The following is a 22,106-nucleotide window of genomic DNA, read 5'->3' as shown; positions in this document are numbered from 1 at the left end:
AAAAAAAAATAGAAAGTTGTTTTTATGGTCAATAAACAGTTTACAGATTTTTAGATATGTACTATCTTTATATGTGTAAAATTAAGTCTTTTAAAAAATAAAACTATTTTTGTAGTAGATGAATACTCATTATGTTTGTAATTGATGTGTATTAATTATGCAAATACTTGACAAAAAGTCGTCTCATATTTTTGATAAGGGCAAAGGCCACTCATCTTAATCTAACCTTCCCCAGAGGGAGAAAAAGAGTTCAATTACATTAATTTACATATTCCTTGATGCTTAGCAACCCTATCTTAAGTCAGACTCAGCTAGTGATTTTTTATTCAAGACCACCATATAAAAATTAGAAGCAAAATTTAAGTCATAAATGTTAAGCCATAATCCCCCTTAAGAGGGAAGTTAAGTTGCATGATGGACTTGAGTAGATGAGACAAAGTCTCAAACTTACTGTAGTTTAACATCCTCATTACCAGAGAAAACACTGATTATGTCTCAGAGCTGCTTTCCCTCCTAGCAAAATGGGGGAAACACTATGGTGTTTATGCTTATAAGCCTAAGAACTGCGGCAAGGATTCAATTAATTAATATAGGTAGAGCATCCAGAAATGGATCAGATGTGTAACAGGTTCTCAGTAAAAGCTGAATCACTTCTCAACTTTGTCACCCAACTTTTTAATAACCAATTGTCACCAATTCTTTTTAATAACCATGTATTTTAAACATAGCCGTTTATCAAAATGGACAAAAACAGCAGACTATATATGTATGTATTAATTTATATTTGATTTAAATGTATTCTTTATGCTGTATTATATATCAACCTAAGACTCTACAACGCATATTATATGGATGTTAAGGAGCTATTTATATATTCAAACACATAGTTTAATCATATGTAAAAAGTTTAATCATATGTAAAAAGTTTAATCATACATAAAGTGTTTAATCATACATTATTGATTTTTTAAACAGTCGTGAAAATGTACACAGCCATTTATTTATAAAAGCAACAAGGTAATTAGTATTATTTTCATAAAAGAAAATTTTATTTTATTTCCATATCAAGGTCCAAATTTTATTTTATTTATTTATTTTTTTATGTTTATTTCCATATCAAGGTCCAAATTTTATTTTATTTATTTTTTTTTTATGTTTGAAACGGAGTCACGCTGTCACCCAGACTGGAGTGCAGTGGCACAATCTCAGCTCACTGCAAGCTCCACCTCCTGGGTTCACACCATTCTCCTGCCTCAGCCTCCCGAGTAGCTGGGACTACAGGTGCCCACCACCATGCCCGGCTAATTTTTGTATTTTTAGTAGAGACAGGGATTCACCATGTTAGCTAGAATGGTCTCCATCTCCTGACCTCATGATCCACCCGCCTTGGCCTAAATTTTATTATGTGAAGCTATTTTTTAAATCAAATCTTCCTTTTTATTTTCAACAGACTATGTTAACCTTATTGCTCACGTTGATCTTATGTGTAGCACTGCCAAATGTCATTAAACATATGCTTGATTTTGACCAAAATATGGCTATTAGAATTGTTCAAAGTTAGAAAATAAAGACATTTATATTTTGCTATATGGCGGGAAATTAGGATTTCTATGCTTTCATGCTTATAGACATACATAATGTACAATTACAGGATAGGTTTCATGTTCAAAACATATGTGCTGACTAAATAAAGTTTGTAGGTTTGGCACTTGTATTAATTGCAAACCTCACAGAAATTCCGTGAGAAATATATTATCTATTTTTCTCATATTTGAGAAAACTGAAGCTTAGCGACTGCAAGTAATTCATCAATGGCCACATAGCATCTTATTAGCAAATTTATGATTTGGCCACAGATCTCATCTGCCTGGCAACAGATCCCCTTACGGATTCTCATATGACAAACTTCTTCAATATTTTCTCCTGTAACAGAAAGGCAATGTGTTCTTACGGCACTTCTCTAAGAACAATCCCAGGTCATGCTACTAACATGAATTCAAAGTATTGAATTACTTAAGGAATGGTGCACAAGTAGCTCTAATTTGTGACAAGCGTAGAATAGAAAAATACAGCAATGTTTTAGAATATTTAACATATTTTGACAATTTTGTATGAGGGGAATGATTCAAAACTGAAGTTTATACTAGACATAGTAGTCGGTGGATATTTAATAGAACATATTTCCAAGCACAGGTTATTACTTAGGAAAATGGACCAAGAGATGAATGGGTAGTAATGGCAAAAGCATGTGAAGAAAGTTGTGATATAAAAAGAATTTGCTGGGTGACTAGCTTAGAAAACAATCTTGAACACTGATAATTTTGAATTGGCACTAACAATGAGGAACACCTGAACTGATTAGAGGAAAATGAGGCTCTGGACAAGAAAGCTGATTAAGAGAAAATTATAGTATTTAAAAATGACCTGGGCTTTTGCCAGATGTTATTCTGTTGAAAGAAAAAGAAAATCATATTTGGGCAACACAAACTGGTCAGGGTTTGGCCAAAGACAAAAATAAAATGTTGATTTGTCTCTGCTAATTATACAGAAGATTAAACTGTAGTTGTTTTTACATTCACTACTTTGAAGTATATGAAGCTAATTTATATGTTTTATATCAATATTTCCTAGATGGAAATGTGACCAATTGAGTATAAAAAAACAGTAGAATTATTGGAAATACTGTGACATATTATATTTATATATTTTATTGGACAACCTTATATGTCCTAGAAAAAGTTGTAATTATTGATTATTAATTTAAATTAATTCTCCATATATCCCAAATATCTGCTACTTTCCAAAAGTTAAGACATAGCCTGGAACCCTTAGAAAGTCATAACCAAGTGGGAACACAGACCACAAATGAATACTTACAGTGTACTAAGATCTGTACATTGAAAGGCGGAATTTTTCATGTAGTAAAGAGGGAGTGTCTGCTACTGCCTCAAAGCATGAAAGAATATTTTCAAAATAAAGCCCTTTAAGCTAAATCTTGTCAGATAACTGATCAGAGAAGAGTAACAGGCTATTTTGGGCAGAAGGAACAGAACGTTCAAGGATATGTTACGAAAGATATGGCCCCTAAAAAAGGTGATTCCTTTGGATTCACTGGAAGAGCATCGGTGAAATTATTGGTAGATAAGCCACAATATTAAGGACTCTGCAGGTCAGTGAGTGATGTTGCTGTCTCTTCACTCACTTACCAAACATTAGCTCCTTTCAGTATTCAAATCCACTGCCTGACTTTGGATCTGACCCTGGAATAATTGCTTCTAAGTATTCTACATGGCTTTAGCCCCCACCATGTTTTGGTTTATCCCCGAGAAACTCTCAGGAAAAACTTAGGTTCATCTCCTTGTTAGACTCCTTCCATGGCTCTCAACCCCTCACAGGATAGTCTAAACCCTTTAGGCAAGTGAATGAGAATTTTATTCATCTGATTATCCCTTATCATGTCAACACATGGAGTAGTGCATGTCATTCCAAACGACTTATCATTCTCTTTTTTATTCTCGTATGTATTCTACAAGCCCATACATTTACACAAATCTGTAAATTCTGGTCTTCATTTCTCTTTGCCGTGGTTACATGGCAAACTGGCCAACATGTTTCTATAGTTTAAAAATGTGCTGAATATCACTCCCTCTTTGAAAGTTTTTCTCACCTCTTCCTTTCTGAAGCTCACGTTACTTCCACCAGGTCTCAAAGGAGATTTTATACAACATTTTATCATCCCAGATCACTTTGTCTATTATTTATTTTATATAGCACCCTACCCCAGTCCCAGACACCTGGGAGCCATATGTTATTTCCAGGTATAAGAGCTGAGAACAATGCTAAGCAAAATTGAACTCTAAAGAAAGTTTTTGGCCAAACAAATATTTACATTTTAAGAAATGTTTTCTTAAAGAAAGATCAATAATGAAGTTTGGATTTTAGCCTTTAGGCAATAGTTAATTAAAACATTTTGACAAGTAAATAACAGTTTTATGATGAGATTAGCTTTTAAAAATACTTTGTTTGCAATATGTGATGGATATGGTGAATTCATTTGTTTAACACTCACTCCAATTAGCTCTACTCCTTGTACTGCCTTGGCTGGAATTCTAAAAACTGCATTTCCCAGACTCTACTGCAGCAAGAGCTCCAGATGGAATTTAAGTTTCTCTAATCAGTACACCAACAGGAAACTGTGCAGAATTGAGTTGGTTATGAAGAGAGGCTGAGCAATTTGTTGTTGGGATTAGATCATATGCAATATGATTCTGGAGCAAGTGAGTGACTGCGGGATTATGACTAAGGTAGCTCATTCAGTGCCTCAGTTTTGTGGGATAGTCATGGGAATTCTTCATGGAAGCTCAAACCTACAGTTTGTTATTTAAGTTTTGCTAAATATTCTTGAAAGTATCAGTACATAAATAAATACCTTTCTTTTTTTTTTTTTTTTTTTTGAGACGGAGTCTCGCTCTGTCGCCCAGGCTGGAGTGCAGTGGCGCGATCTCGGCTAACTACAAACTCCGCCTCCCGGGTTCACGCCATTCTCCTGCCTCAGCCTCCCGAGTAGCTGGGAGTACAGGTGCCCGCCACCACGCCCGGCTATTTCTTTGTATTTTTAGTAGAGACGGGGTTTCACCATGTTATCCAGGATGGTCTCGATCTCCTGACCTGGTGATCCGCCCGCCTCGGCCTATAAATACCTTTCTTATTTAACTAGCTAGAGTGGATTTCTCTATAGCTGAGAAACCTGGCCAATGAACAATATAAACAATTATATGGTAATATTAGAGAAAGGGAACAGGTACTATTAGACACAATTGAGACAAGATGAGAGCCTGAGCACAGGCAAAGCTGAGGGCTGTGGATATTAGTTTGTGGGAATTGATTTGAGAAAACAGCTCTGAAACAGAGATATGACTTGAATATTAATTGAAAGTGAAGGAAGGTTGTAAAAGAATATGTCAGATCAGAATGGCGCTATCATAATAGAAAGGAATTCCAAAAGAGATCAGATATTTGGGGAGAAAACATACTCTATTAGGTTTGGTGTGTTTTAAAGTTTAAAAAAATCAGAAAGACATTAGAAAGAAATGTGTATCAAATATCTAAGGTAGATTGTGAAAAAGAAAATTTGGCTCTCTCTGAGAGTTGAAAGTCACCCTTCACTGCTCACATGTAAACATATTAACTACAAATAATATATGCTCTATAAAAATGCAGGAAGGTAGTGATTTTGTATACCCGAGTGCAAGCATAGACTCACCCATTGGAAAATCAAGTCAATTACATATTCATAATATTTTTCCTTTCTACAATTAAAATACCCTTGCATAGAATTGTCTCACATTAATAGACTAGAAATAATATGTAAAAGTTAAATTACCTATGGTACAAAACTTTAGAATTCTTTGTTTTTTTCTTAACTTTTGTCTTTTAACCCTTTACTTCAAGATCTGCTTAAATTTTTACAAGTTAACAATTTCTTTTAAACCATAATATCGTATATAAAATATTTAGAAATGGACAACTAATTAATTGACCCATTATATTAAAAATGTTGGTCTAGTTAAAATATGTAGCAATAGCAAGAAATGTTTTTTGTATCTGTTGCATGATTATTGCCAAATCTTGTGTATTTATTTAAGATGTTTAAGTTATTTTTCAGAGATCCTGCCTGAGGTCTTCTCAAGAGCAGATGGTAATATCATTCATATAAACACTGAAGCAGAAACAAAACCAGCTTTATTAGATTTTATACAAGCAATGTATTTCATAATCCTTACATTGGCAAATTAGGTTCCAAACCTTACCAGCTACTTCCTTATTATTTCCATTGGATGATTTCAGTAAGACTAGACCACGAAGTACCTGTATTATAGTACAACAACAGAGAAATGGCAAGGCCTTGCTTAATATGAACTCAATGGAATAGTCAATACCCAGGATGTTTTGTGGTGTTTAAAGTTATAAAAAGGTAAGGTTTTCAGTGAAACACAATACTAGTTGGAAGAACATTAGGATAATAAGAAAATAACAATAGACACATTGTGATTAATCCTTTGAAAAACAAACCACTCTTTATGTAATGTGTTGAACTACAAAAGTCAATTGCGTTGTAGTTTTTCTAAGGTGGTTATTTTCTGGGGGCTAAAATGTACTCAACTGTGTTGTTTTTATTAAGCAAATATTATCAATTGCTGTGTCCATGGCTTCTGCTCATTGAAAGAAAATGTATATTTGTTACCAAATTCCTATGATATTATTTTCCATTTTATTAGAATGTTTATAGAGATTACATGTGTGTTAGTTCATTCTCACATTGCTATAAAGAACTACCTGAGAGTTGGTAATTTATAAAGAAAAGAGTTTTAATTGACTCACAGTTTCACAGGCTGTACAGAAAGCATGGCCAGGGAGGCCTCAGGAAACTTACAATCATGGCAGAAGGTGAAGGGAAAGCAGGAAATGCCTTCGAGGCATTTTCCCCATTGTCTTAGCTATTAACATACATGGTCAGAGAAGGAAAAGACTGAAGGGGAAGGTGCCACACAGTTTTAAACAACCAGTTCTCATGGGAACTCACTATCATGAGAACAGCAAGGGGGAAATCCATTCCCATGATCCAATCTCCTCATACCAGGCCCCTCCTTCAACATTGGGGATTATAGTCCAATTTGAGATTAGGATGGAGACACAAATCCACACCATATTATTCCTCCTCTAGCCCCTCTCAAATCTCATGTCCTTCATACATTGCAAAGTACAATCTTCCTCTCTCAACAGTCCCCCAAGTCTTAACTCATTTCAGCATTAACTTAAAAGTCCAAAATCCAAAGTCCCATTCAAGATAAGACAAGTCCCTTACACCTATGAGACAGTAAAATTAAAAATAAATTTGTTACTTGCAAGATTTAATGAGGATACAGGCATCGGGTAAATACAACTGTTCCAAAAGGGAGAGACTGAACAAAACAAAGGAGCTACAAGCCCCCATGCAATTCCCAACCCAGTAGGGCAGTCGTTAAATCTTAAAGCTCCAAAATAATCTCCTTTGACTCCATGTGTCACATCCAGGCAACACCGAGATAAGGGGTTGGGTCCCAAGGCCTTGAGAACCTTCACCCCGGTGGCTCTGCAAGGCTCAAGTCCCTTGGCTACTCTCAAGGGCTGGCCTTCAATGTCTGCGACTTTTTCAGGTGCATAGTGCAAGCTATTGGTGAATCCACTGTTCTGAGGCCTGGATGATGGTGGTCTTCTTCTCATAGCTACACTAGGCAGTGCTCCAGTGGGAACTCTGTTTGGAGGCTCCAACCCCACATTTATCCTCTGTACAGCCCTAGTAGAGATTCTCCATGGGGGCTCTGGTCCTGCAGCAGACTTCTTCATAGACATCCAGGCATTTCCATACACCCTCTGAAATTGAGGAAGAGACTCCCAAGCCTCAACCCTTGGCCCCGGCACACCCAGAGGCTTAACACTATGTGGAGGCCATGAAAGCTTATTATGGCTTACACCCTCTGGAGCAGTGGCCTGATATGTATCTGGGGCCCCTTTATCCATGGCTGGAGCTGGAGCAGCTGGGATGCAGGGAGCAGTGTCTTGAGGTTGCACAGGGCAGCTGGTTCCTGAGCCCTGCCTGCAAAACTATTCTTCCCTCCTAGGCCTCCAGGCCTTTGATGGGAGGAGCTGCCATGAAGGTCTCTGAAATGCCTTTGAGGCATTTTCCCCATTGTCTTAGCTATTAACGTTCAGCTCCTGTTTACTTATGCAAATGACTGCAGCAGACTTGAATTCCTCCCCATTAAATGGGCCTTTCTTTTCTACCCATTTTCTATCCTCACGGTCAGGCTGCAAATTTTCTGAACTTTTATGCTCTGCTTCCCTTTTAAATTCAAGTTCCAAGTTAAGATTATATCTTGTTCACAAATATAAGCATACACTGTTAGAAGCAGCCAGGCCACTTCTTGAACGCCTTGCTGCTTAGAAATTTCTTCCACCAGATACCCTAGATATCATCTCTCTGAAGTTCAAAGTTCCACAGATCCCTAGAGCAGGGGCACAAATGCCACCAGTCTCTGCTAAAACATAGCAAGAGTGATATTTACTCTGGTTCCTAGTAAGGTCCTCATCTCTATCTGAGACTACCTCAGGCTGGACTTCATTGTCCACATCAATATCAGCATTTTGGTCAAAACAATTTAACAAGTCTCTAGGAAATTCTAAACTTTCCCTAATCTTTCTGTCTTCTTCTGAGCCCTCCAATCTCTTCCAACTTCTGCCCATTACCCAGTTCCAAAGCTGCTTCTACATTTTCAGATATCTATATAGCAATGCCCCACCCCTGGTGCCAATTTTCTGTGTTGGTTCATTCTTTCATTGCTATAAAGGACTACCTGAGACTGGGTAATTTATAAAGAAAAGTGTTTTAATTGACTTACAGTTCCACAGCCTGTACAGGAAGCATGGCTGGGAGGCCTCAGGAAATGTACAATCATGGCAGAAGGTGAGGGGAAGCAGGTATGCTGTATATGGACAGAGAAGGAGAGAGTGAAGGAAAAGATACCACACACTTTGAAACTACCAGGTCTCATGAGAACTCACTCATTATTATGAGACCAGCAAGAGGCAAATTGGCCCCCATGATCCAATCACCTCCCACAAGGCCCTTCCTCCAACATTGGGGGGTTACAATTTGACATGAGAGTTGAGTGGGGACACAAATCCAAACCATATCAATATGCTATTTTATAATGACTCTGTGTTACCATATATCATCCGTAAAAAGTATGCAGATCTCATTAATTTAGTAGTCATTCTTCTATGTCAACTGTAAGCAAACATTTCTTAACATTAGTGAGTCTATTTTGTGCTTTAAAAGATAGTATCATTCTTATTTTATTGTCTCACTATAAGTACTACAATTCTCACTCCTTTTGTAGTGATTTCATGGTGCTTAATTCCATGAAAATACCAAGGCACAGTTCACATTCTCAGGTTCATTAAGAATGCCTTATTAGGCCGGGCGCGGTGGCTCACGCCTGTAATCCCAGCACTTTGGGAGGCCGAGATGGGCGGATCACGAGGTCAGGAGATTGAGACCATCCTGGCTAACACGGTGAAACCCCGTCTCTACTAAAAATACAAAAAAAAATTAGCCGGGCATGGTGGCGCGCGCCTGTAGTCCCAGCTACACGGGAGGCTGAGGCAGGAGAATGGCGTGAACCCGGGAGGCGGAGCTTGCAGTGAGTCGAGATCGCGCCACTGCACTCCAGCCTGGGCGACAGAGCGAAACTCCGTCTCAAAAAAAAAAAAAGAATGCCTTATTCTCAGAGAACTCTCTTAAGGGTTTTGTATTTAAAGTACCACAACTGTTTTTACCAGATCTGAATGTTCCAGTTATTCATTTTTATTCCATAGGAAACAAAATCCTGATTCTTCTCACTTTCAATATTAATTGAATCTATAACCTTAAAGAATTATTTGGGAAGCCAATTCTATAAAAGTCATGCAGTCATAGATATCTCATATTTTTTATCATTTTCTTAAGAATCTTCACACCCAAATATCAAAGATTGTTTAGAATACAAAATGGCATACTTTATGTACATGAACTTTGTGTCAGGCTCATTCAAAAGCAAAGCTCAATGAGGGAAGGTTCTCTAAGTGGTAATGCTTCACATGTTTACTCCACACTAGACAAAAGAATCTTGTTTGCAAAAGTCATGCCATGGAACCTAAAACTCTATGTCTATTTCTATGTTGTAATTGGGCCTATTTTTACTTATAATTATATTTGTATCTCTAGACATTCCGAACTCTACTTCTACCTGTATCAATGTAATACAGACCATAGAAAAAGGGTGTAAATATGTTGAAATCTGGATTTACAATGCATTAATCTGCCACATGGGCCCAGGTCTGTGTGACATTGTCAAGTTATTAAATACTTAACCTCACAGTGCCTTAGTTTCAGACATGAAAAGAGAAAAATAGTACCTACCTCACCCTATTGTTATGAAGATTAAATTTCAACTACCCTAAAGTGTTTAGTAATTTCTGTCCTATACTGAACACTTGCAATAACAACTAATATTAGTTTTCTCTCTCTCATACTCCCAATCTCTCTCATGCATGCCTGCCTTTAAATGAATCCTTATGTCAATATTTTATTGAGAATATGGAACTCATACAGTGTGTAGAGACTTACACATTCATTTACCATAAGTACTTTCTACCTTAAGTGATGAAACGGAGAGCCTAGTTTCTGTTTACTAAGGGATGTGAACATCCTTAACAGCGTGACTAAGAGAAAAGTTTTCATCCAGCTGATATCCTATTCTGCTCCATTTTTTCTGATTTACATTATATGGCCTACCTAGTGATTCCCTTTCTGGCTTCAAGGCTAAAGTAACTAAGCCTTGATTTTGCTTAATAACTTTCTCACCACATCAACTGGTGACCACTGATGTGACAACATAGTTATTTCTCTACACTTGTCAGTTGATTTAGAATAATTCAGAAATACTAAAGGTATATACTATGGGAAATTTAGTAATTTTAATCTATAGACATTTTAATTTTTATATTATGTGAGTTTTGCCAATTTTGGCTTTTATAACTTTTTTATTTGGTCAATGAATGTCGCATTTCAATTATTTTGTAAGCAGTCTGTTAGACATTAGCCCAATACTACTCATATAGACAGTTTATTTCCTCAATGGGAAAAGGAAATAAAACCAGATATTTAACAAAAATAACAAATTTGACCCTTTTTTAGAAGTGAAAAAATTCTTATAAATAGAATTTGGAAGGGACTTTTATTTTCCTACCATAGTGCCAATATACAGAGCTAAATTTAAGAAAAAGAAAATGACTCTTGTTCAGCCAAAGCCAACTTTCCAAGGGAAAAATTCTTTAAATATTCAAGGGTTTTTCAGTACGTATTTAGTTTTTCAGAAATAAAAATATTGAGCATACTAACTGAAAATGTATTTGACATTTTAAGTGAGATTTTCCATTTTTTTCAGAGAACACATCAATTTCTTACTCCAAGAAATTTTGAAAATGTATTTTTAAATTTTTGACTTAATGTGGAGACTCTTTATTTGATCATGCTATTTACTAGAAGAAAACGACAATGAACCATGAGAAATTGAAAACTAAATGAAAGGCACTATTACTACAAATGTACATTCATGGTACTTTTGAATTGCTGTTTTCTCTTTACAGGTAGGCAATTATAACATGACTTGGAAACTGCAAACACCTGACCCCAAGGCCGTGATCCATAGTGACAAACCTGCACTAGTGTAGGTTTGAATTAAAGTAGAAGCCGGCAACTCATGCCTAGAGGTTTACAAAACTTGAAAGACAAAAATTAGTCCATACATTCTTCCTAGAACAAAGGTTAGATACTGCATTGTTCACTAAATATTGGACAATTGAAAATTTTTCTCTCTGTACATACTTTCATGACTTCTGCCTCAACCAGCACTCTGACTGCAACTATGCAATGCTGAATTATTGTTGGTGAAAAATAATTGAAATTTTTCAGAGAATCTCAGCTGAAAAGGTTAACCTCAGCATCCTCCATTTATGCTTCTATCACTGTCTTTTTCTCACATTTTATTTTCTTTTTCTGAAAAACTTTTATTTTTGGTTCAGGGGTACATGTGCAATTTATATGGGTAACCTCATATCAGGTGGGTGTGTTGTACAGATTATTTTGTCATTCAGGTACTACGTATAGTACCCAAGAGTTATTTTTTTCTGATCCTCTTCCTCCTCCAACCTCCATCTTCAAGTAAGGTCTCAGTGTCTGTTGTTCCCCTTTTTGTGACCACTTGTTCCCATCTTTTAGCTCCCCCTTATAAGTGAGAACATGTGGTATTTGGTTCTCTGTTCCTGGGTTAGTTTGCTAAAAATGATGGTCTCCAGCTCCATCCATGTTCCCCCAAAAGACATGGCTGTGTTCTTTTTATGGCTGCATAGTATTCTATGGTGTATAAGTACCACATTTTTGTTATCCAGTCTGCTATTGATGGGTATTTAGATTGATTCATTGTTTTGGCTGTTATAAATAGTGCTGCAATGAATATACATGTGTAAGTGTCTTTATGGTAGAACAATTTATATTCCCTTTTTGTTTTCTCACAACCACAAATCTTTTAATTTAGATGTTTCCCCTGTTATCTGCGTTCCTTTTCTATATGCTAAAGACCTAATTCATCTAAAATTTCATCCAGTCTTACCTATACCAACTAATTTGCTTTCCCGTCCTTTTTCCAAACCAATAGAGCAAAACACCTACATCTTGATTAGTCAAATGGTCTGCCATTTCTGTTGATAAAAATGCAAGCTCATCATCTGCCATGCATACTGGGAACATTCAGTAATCCATGGCAGCTTATTGTGATTTTGCTGTTCAGTTGTCTCATTACCAATTCAGCTCTCTACCCTGTTCTCCATAACAGAATTGTAACTGATTTGTGAATATTCTCAGACAAAATTAAATAGGTGTACAAAAATGAACATTTATGTATTAGCTATGCTTTAAAATGATTTAATTTAACTCTAAATCCCCATTTTTCTTGGCCATGAGTGTAAACATGGTGTTAGTCTTTCTAAGTTTTTCTAGGCTGCAACACCTTGATGAACCAGTCTTCCATTTTGACTCTTATGCATAACCGCTGCTCTGAGATTTTACTATTGTATGCTGATGATCCTCAGTACATGCCACTTGTGCCACATCTTTTCTGATAGGTGGACCATGCTCAATTACTCAGCCCTCTGGGAAAACACAAAAGCTCTGATTCTTATTTATCTAGTTCAGGGAAGAGAGTGAATATTGGACCACACTTTTAATAAACGTGGGACCTATGGGAAACTTGACCCAGAGTATCTAGCCCATTCTCTCTTGGCCAAATAGGCCATGTGTCTGTTTCTGAACCAAGGTTTGTAATCAACATGGCACGCAAATCTACCATGCAGATAGATTACTAGAAACCCTATAGAAAACCCTGGCTTATTCTACTACTGTTCCCACTTTACAAGAGTCTGTGCTTTTTTCTGTTAACTATTTTGACCTAGTATATGTCCTTTCATTTAATCTCATCACCATTTCTGTGAAGTCCAAAGCTCCTCCCTCTCTTCTAGAAGAATGTGGGTTTCCTGATTTGTTGAGGATGCTCTCTAGATGAAAAATGGACCTCAGAATTTAGACAAGTATCTACTCTGACCAAATGATCAACAGTTCAATAGTTCACTATGATAAATATTTTCCCAGATGGAAAAAAAGGAATCATTTAATGCTTATATGCTTCAGCCTCATTCACTGGAGCTGTTTCTGAATGGCGCTTACTCAGACGGAGGCTCCAACTTTCTGGATTCACACTTCTACTTATGTTCCACTTCCTCATCCATAACATTTTTAATCTTCTCTAGTGTTAGAGAAAAATGATTTTCTAAGAAGATGACTGGATTTCATTTTCTTATGCTTAGCCTTTGGCTTTAACTATATATAAAATTATTTTGTTTTGTTTTGTCTTGCTTTCAGATTCTTTTGCTTTCTTATTATACAGCTGAAAACTTAGATCCAGTTGTTTGCTTTGGACCATTCTGTCTTCTTAAGCCCTCATTACATGATTATCTCATATCCACCCTTCATGCAGCAGCATAGGACATCTTTTCTAGGAAGACTTTCCCATTCCTCTCAGACTGCATTAGATGTCGTTTCTGGGAGAGTTCTCATCCTGACTTTATCCCATCACAGTAATACTTATCACATTGCAAGTATTACACTTCCACCTTCTGTTTCTCTTTCTTGCCCAGCAGACTGTTGATGAATTACAGGCAGAGACTATGGATATATTTCCTTATATCCTAAAGTACAGGTAGTACCTAGCACAAAGACTTTTCTTGTAAATATTTTCAAATGCAGTTAAATATTTACTATTGGACTGCACTAAAGTCATTGAATTTGAAAGAGCAGTACCTCTATGCCTCTCTGTCATATTTGGGGAATGCCTATTCTTATTTTCTATAAGTATCAGATAAATGTGGTAAATATTCTGTCATTGGTATTTTTGTATAACCACAGTGGTATAAATTCTCTAAAATAGTACATTGAGCATCAGGGTATCTATTGACTTTAATAAGCAATCTAAAAATATTTTGGATATCACTATAAACAAATTTTTCTTGCTGTTAACAGCATTTGGGGAAAGTGTATCAAATATATACTTGGCTATATAAAACAAAGAGATATTAAAAAGAACAAACAAAGTGATATTCTAATTTTAGATCTCAAAATACACTTACGATAATATGGTGATGAAGAGATATTTTTTTGGTTCCCTTAAGATTTTGTATGTAAAAATAGTTTTGTAGGTATAAATTTGAACACCCAAATTGTATTCTGATGCTTGATTGTAATATCTATTTTGAAATGTATACATCTAAATTGAGAAAATGATGAATTAGAAGACTTAACTATTTTTTTGATGGATACCTATAAATAAAATTCATGAAAACATTAGTCAGTCAATATAAATATATAAATAAACAGAATCAGATACGAAGAAGCATTGAAAATAATCTTTCTGTTTCTTAATGTCCTAGACAAAAAAAAGTTCAAAGACATTCTAAGCTGGTTAGTCATCAACCTCATAAGTCAAGCCCTATTTTTGAGCTACAACGGATAACTTATCAGGGTCGTAACTATCAGTACATCAATATAACCTGTCCTTAAAAGTACAGAAAGAGTATATTAAGAAAGCGTCCCAATGAGAGAGAGTTAACTCTCATTCTCTTAGGCACAGTTCAAACTCTTAAAAAACAACAAATAAACAATGATGCTTGCCCTTGAATGTCAAAGAATTTCCCTATCCTGAAAGCAGATGAATCAATTAAAGGATGTTAATGAGGTGATCAGCAAACATCGGGTGTATATTTAAGAATCACTGACATAGTGAGTTGAATGGTTTGAACTGTTGTAATAGTGATGTGAAGAAACCAGTTAAGAAACTACTTTTAAAAAAACTTTTATTGTAAGTTCACCAGTACATGTGCAGGATGTGCAGGTTTTTTACATGGGTAAACATGATCATGGAGGTTTGTCATACAGATTATTTAATCACCAAGATATATTAGATAACTAATATCCATTAGTTATTTTTCCTGCTCCTCTCCCTCCTCCTACCCTCTGCCCTCTGATAGGCCCCACTGTGTGTAGATCCCCTCTATGTGTCCGTGTGTTCTTGTTATTTAGTTCCCACTTACAAGTGAGAATGTGTGGAATTTGGTTTTCTGTTCCTATGTTAGTTTGCTGAAGATATTTGCCTTTAGCTCCATGCATGTCCCTACAAAGGACATGATCCCCTTCCTTTATATGGCTGCATAGTATTCCATGGTATATATGTACCACATTTTCTTCATCCAGTCTATCACTTATGGGCATGATCATGGAATGTTTTTCCATTTGTTTGTGTCATCTCTGATTTCTTTAAGCAGTGGTTTGTATTTAGTTCTCTTTGTAGAGATCTTTCACCTCCTTGGTTAGCTCTATTCCTAGGTGTTTTATTCTTCTTGCAGCTACTGGAAATGTGATTGCATTATTTATTTGGCTCTCAGCTTCAACAAAATTGATGTATAGAAATGCTACTGAACTGAAGGAGACAGAGACACAAAAAAATTCAAAGATCAACAAATCCAGGAGCTGGTGTTTTTTTTTTTTTTTTTTTGAACAAGATAATAAAATAGCTAGACTGCTAGCTAAACTGATAAAGAAAAAAGAGAGAAGATTCAAGTAAACATAATCAGAAATGATAAGAAGGATATTTTGGCGGACCACACAGAAATACAACCAACAGAGAATATTATAAACACCACCATTCACATAAACTGGAAAATCTAGAAGAAATGAATAAATTCCTAGATATATACACCCTCCCAAGACTGAACCAGGAAGAAATTGAACCATGGAACAGACCAATAATGAGTTCTGAAATTGAGGCAGTTATAGTCTTCCAAACAAAAAAAAAGCCCAGGACCAGATGGATTGACAGCTGAATTCCACCAGATGTACAAAGAAGAGCTGGTATCATTCCTACTGAAACTATTCCAAAAAATTGAAAAGGAGGGACTCCTCCCTAACTCATTCTATGAGCCCAGTATTATTCTGATACCAAAACCTGGCAGAAATACAACACAGAAAAGAAAACTTTAGGCCAATATCCTTGATGAACATTGATGCAAAAATACTGACAATACGAATCCAGCCCTCATCAAAAAGGGCTCATCCACCACAATCAGGTAGACTTCCTTCCTGGTATGCAAAATTGGGTCAACATATGCCAATCAACAGTTGTGATTCCTCACATAAACAGAACTGAAACCACATGATTATCTCAATAGATGTAGAAAAGGGCTTTGATAAAATTCAACATCCCCTCATGTTAAAAACTCTCAATAAGCTAGGTACTGAAAGAACATACCTTAAAATAATAAGAGCCATGTATGACAAACCCACAGCCAATATCATCCTGAATAATCAAAAGCTGGATGCATTCACCTTGAAAATTGGCATGAGACAAAGATGCCCTCTCTCACCACTCCTACTCAACGTAGTGTTGGAAGATCTGGCCAGAGCAATCAGGCAAGAGGAAGAAATAAAGGGCATTCAAATAGGAAGAGAGGAAGTCAAACTATCCCTGTTTGCAGATGACATGATCCCATATGTAGAAAACTCCATTGTTTCAGCCCAAAAGCTTCTTAAGCTGATAAGAAACTTTGGCAAAGTATTGGGATATAAAATCAATGTGCAAAAATTGCTAGCATTTCTGAACACCAGTGACAGTCAAAACGAGACAAATCACAAATGAATTCCCATTCACAATTGCCACAAATAGAATAATATACCTAGGAATACAGTTAACAAGGGAAGCAATAGATCTCTACAAGAAGAACTACAAACCACTGTTCCAATGAATGATTATTTTGATTTAGGGGAGAGATAATGGCAAGTTGGACAACAACAGTTGTTTGAGATAAAAGGTGGTAAATGGAATTGAAACGCTATTTGTGAGGCAAAATGATAATATGTAATGATGTGTGCGTGCAGGGGATAAAGAGATCATTATTTCAGTTCTGGAATTCTAGGTTTGTGGTGCTTTACAGAAACCTGAGTTGATATTTAAGTAGTCAGTTGGATGTAAAAGTCAGAGGAAAGCAATTGTCTAGAGGTATACACGTGAGAGTCTTAGGAATAAGACAAGTGTTTGAAATTCTGGTCTCTGACAAGATTGCCTAAATTTGAGTACTCAGTAAAAAACAAAGGAGATAGTTATGAAGAACTCCAACATGTAAACATAGAAAAAGCAAGTCTGGGAAACAGCTTGAGAAGGCACAACCAGAAAGGTGGGAGTAAAAGTAAGAAAATGCTTTGTCTCAGAACTTAAGAAAAGTATGGTTAATGTTACAGAAAATTCAAATCAGATAAAGATTAGAAAATGCTCATTGGATTGAATGATATAGAAAATTTTATGAGATATTCATTTGATTGAATGAGAGGAACAGAAGCCAAAAAAGAATGACATATGAGGCATAGGCTGGGCATGGTGGTGCACACTTCTAATCCCGGAACTTTGGGAGGCTGAGATGGACAGATCACTTGAAGCCAGGAGTTCAAGAACAGCCTGGCCAACATGGTGAAACCCTGTGTCTACTAAAAATACAAAAATAGTGGGGCGTGGTGGTGCATGCCTATAATCCCAGCTACTCTGGAGGCTGAGGCAGGAGAATCAATTGAACCAAGATCGTGCCACTGCACTCCAGCTTAGGGGAGACTCTGTCTCAAAAAAATTAAAAAAAATTAAAAAGAAGGAGTGATGTAAGAGATTAAGAGATGGAAGATGGTAGAGGTTACACACACACACACACACACACACACACACACCACTTTCCACTAGGTTGTGTGGTAAATGAGAGAATAATATAGACTAATCCATCATTCATGTATGGAAATATCTGGAGTCTCCGTTGACAGATCTCCCAAGAAGAGGAAAGAAAGCATCCCGCAAGAAGAAGAAAGAAAATAAATAAGATTATACTCTCATAGTTAATATTCAGTGACAATCTGAGGATCAAAATTAAGACAGCCAATCCAGACATAAAGAAAGAAAATAGTTCTCAACCCACCAAAATACTGCAAGCATAGCACATTCATTATATTTTAAAAATAAAGAATGTATCTTCCAGAATGGAGTATTAGGGGCATGAAAACAAAGAACAAGAAGCAAATACTGGCATTATTGGCATTATTCATCTATAAATGGGTTTTCTTGGACAAATATTACCACATTTTGAGGAAAGATGAATTGAGTTCTCCTAGTCTGATTCCATTAAATATTTAAGTATTACCACCTTCCCTTGCTCTCCTGTTATCATGAACCTCTTTTACAATAATTATTTGACTTTTTATTTAGCTGGTTGACATAATACACTATTGTGAAAACTTCGTATATTGGTCTCCTTAGCATTTAAAGTTCTCTATATAGATTAACTCGCCACCAGTTAAACTGATCACCAGTGATGTTCTACATCCCTGATGTATAAAGATTATACTCTGATAGTTAATATTCAATGACTACCTGATTGATCAAAATTAAGATAAATCCAGACATAAAGAGAGAGTACAGTTCTCAACCCCCTGAAATACTGCAAACATAGTACATTTATTACATTTATTATATTTTAGAATGCATCTTCCAGAATACACTATCATGTATGTATTATGTATCTGCCAGCAAAATTGTTATAATGATACATGAGATGTAGACCGGTCAATGTGAAAATGGAAACAAAGAAAAGCTCATATCTAATCAGAGATGTAAGTCCAGAGAAATAGAATCATTTTCTCCCATCGGCTTTCCTTGGGGGGAGGTATACTGAAGTGTATTTGCTGGATTCCAGAGTTTGTCCTTCGTCCTGTATACCCAGAAATTTCATTCTATTATCAAGTAAGAACAAGTTCATCTCTTTAGACCGAACTGCCATTAACCAAGCTCACAATACAGATGTATAAAATCAGTACATCTTATGCGTCCTATTTGAGTGTACATAACATAGCCCACCAGGAAAGCTGATGGGAGGAAATGATTCTATTCCTCTTGACTAACGTCTCTCATTAGATAGGAGCTTTTCCTTATTTCCATTTTCACCTTTACAAGTCTGCTTCTCATGTATCGCTGTAACAACTTTGTGGGCAGGTACCTTTAATTTTTCATTGCACCTGGCAAATTGCTCTAGACATATTGGCTACTTATAATAAAATTAGAATTCTAAATGTTTGTATAGTTTTATTGGTGTACATTTGAGCATAGGCCGGGCATAAATTGCTTGGCAGCAAACTTGTGTTTAATCTGCACTATCCCTTCACTTATTGAATTATCTTGTGCTGGAAACTAAAACCCTAAGGGTCATGGGAATCATTGTAAACATGGCATATATTTTCAACATCTTGGCCTTTACCAGATAGCTATTAGCTAAAAATGAAAAGTTCTGTACTGTATTTGAATGCTTTATTAGCATTAACTTTCGTGGGAAACACGGTTGTTATACACCCTCAAAGAACAGATTGCCCATAACATGCTCTGTTTGTGATGAGATATTAAAGACCAGCTCTCATAATTTTTCACTCCACATTTATAGATTTGTTTCTGCTGACAGAATAGTGGAAATGTAATTAAATGTTTAGTTTAATTAAAACGGAAAATAAAGGTTTGTTCTCAGAAATTCAGTGCAGCCCCAAAATAGCAAACATGAGTGATTATGTATCTCAAAAGCATGGTACTACTGGTTTCTACATGTATATGTTTTTTTTATATTCTCAAACATAATAACATTCATATTATATAATTCCCAAAGCAAACTGTGCATTGCCATCACACATAGACACATCTCTACACACACAAGATGTATATGCAGAAGTCATATTAAGTTTAGAATAATATTTATGAACAAAAATTGATCGAGGTTGGCCTAGTGAATTGATGTGATAGGCTACATATTGAGAAACTCCCAGAATATGTCTATACCAGGGGTCAGCCAAATTTTTCTGTAAAGAGCCAGATAGTAAATGTTTTGAGCTTTGCAGGCCATATGGTCTCTGTCAAAACTACTCAATTCTGCTGTTGTAGCATGAAGCAGCCGCAGACTATAATCAAGTGGGCCTGACTGTGTTCCAGTAAATCTTTATTTATGGACACTGAAATTTGAATTTTATATAATCTTCATATTTCACTAGTCTTATTTTGATTTTTCTTAACCATTTAAAAAATGTAAAAACATTCTTAGTTCACATACCATACAAAAACAAGTGGCAGGCCCAATGACTTATGACACACACACACACACACACACACACACACACACACACACACACTTTCCACACACTGCACTTCAAACTATTAAATAAACATCTCTGATTTCAACTCCCGCTACTCTCTCTCTTGCTAATTCTGCACTATTCACACTTTCTTTCTTCCATGAGCAATCCATCATTTCTATATTTTGAGTCATGCTTAAAAATTCCTTTCGTATTCAAAGATTTCATGGACATTTAACTGTAATAGTTTCTTGGTATTTTTATGTATTCTTTTTTCTCAAAATTATATATTTATTCAACAATTTTTTTCAAGCATGAATCAACTCAGCACTGTATTTTTGTGGAATGATGCCTAAGTCAACATTCTTTATGTATTTACTTGTGGAATGCATTTTTGCTACGTGTCAGATCAGCATCTTTATTCCAGATGGTTAGCCAGTTGAGTCTCTATAATCAATTGAATAATCCATCATTTTCCTTTGGAATTTGAAATGCACTTGGTAATATATTAAATCTTTTCACCATTTGTTATCTAATCTGGATTGTTTTCAGTTGCACTGAATTATTTCTTTACTTATATATAATCTATATTTTTTAAATTATATTCAAAGCGTATTTGATATTTATTATTTACTTTAGTATGACTTCTCTTACTCAAAAGTGTCTTGGTACTTCCAGTGAATCAATTTTGAAATGAAATTTACATCATAGCCAACCTAAAAAAATTTAACTCAATATTTGGTTGTGGTTGTGTAAAGTTCTTAAAATATTTACATGAAAATTGACCTATTTAATTTTCTCATTAAAAAAGAGATGTATCACTTTTGTCTTATAAATGCATATTTCCCTCTAAGTTAACTAATGTTATAAGAAATTTTTGTTGTGATTTTGAAAGGAACTGTTTTGTATATTTTAATGTTTCATTAGATTTTTAACATATTTTATAAAATTAATGTATTAAACACATTTAACATGCATAGAGAAGCTAAGTACTGTGTTTCATGACATATGTTTAAAACAACATTATATCTTTATAATAATGGTAATGATTAATCCAAACAACTACAAAATGTAGTTTCTAATTATAAAATGCCATGTGCTAATTTAGGAATATATGGAAACAGGGAGAAGTAGAAAACCGGAAAATCAAAAGCAAGTTCATATTTCATCAGTCTGAGCACTAACACTTATTTGTTTCTAATTATCATTTTAATGAGCATCTTGGTTGCTGTTATTGTAGACATTGTAGATATCCTCGTAGTTTAAAAATTCTAACAGTTCCAAATATTTAAATGAGAAGAAAAGTTTTTCCTTCAAGCTCCATTCCCTAAAGTAATTCCTATTTTAAATTCTTTTGGTAGAAAATATTATTGTAAATAATTTTATTATTCTCATAACGTGTGAAAAAATTATTTATCTATTAACTCCCTACTTCTGTGGAAAATAAATTTAACACACATAAATGATCTATTTCCTCCCAAACCTTTCTGCTTGCCATCTCTAATTCTTCTAGTCTATGCCTTTATGGTTAAAAAAATTTCTCTTTGATTTCTCCAATCAAGTTGTTATCTGTTGATGCCGTACTTTTAACAAAAATAATGAAATCTATATACTTACCCCCTTCCATCTTGCCTTTTCAATCTTGTGACATATTATGTAGTGTGTTATATGTTATTGAATTTAATATTGATTTGAACACCTAGTTGTTCTCTTATTTTCTGAC

The 22,106-nt window shown here is 35.4% G+C and overlaps 1 protein-coding gene across 9 annotated transcripts in view, besides 1 other annotated feature; it reads left to right on the top strand.

The window, feature by feature from the left end:
* The window catches only part of CDH18 (cadherin 18), a 1,104,418-nt gene that overhangs the window by 547,601 nt on the left and 534,711 nt on the right, over positions 1-22,106 (top strand). The window lies entirely within an intron of this gene.
* Positions 7,481-8,006: an enhancer, noted in NCBI's record as "NANOG hESC enhancer chr5:20020216-20020741 (GRCh37/hg19 assembly coordinates)". NCBI's record gives its function as "activates a minimal SCP1, AML or CMV promoter by ChIP-STARR-seq in primed H9 embryonic stem cells {active_cell/tissue: H9 hESC(primed)}" and the evidence as "EXISTENCE:reporter gene assay evidence [ECO:0000049][PMID:30033119]".

This window comes from Homo sapiens, chromosome 5 (assembly GCF_000001405.40).
Source record: "Homo sapiens chromosome 5, GRCh38.p14 Primary Assembly".
In the NCBI taxonomy this organism is placed as follows: domain Eukaryota; kingdom Metazoa; phylum Chordata; class Mammalia; order Primates; family Hominidae; genus Homo; species Homo sapiens.
Note: the sequence above shows the minus strand (reverse complement) of the source record. Positions and strands in the feature narration are given on the sequence as shown.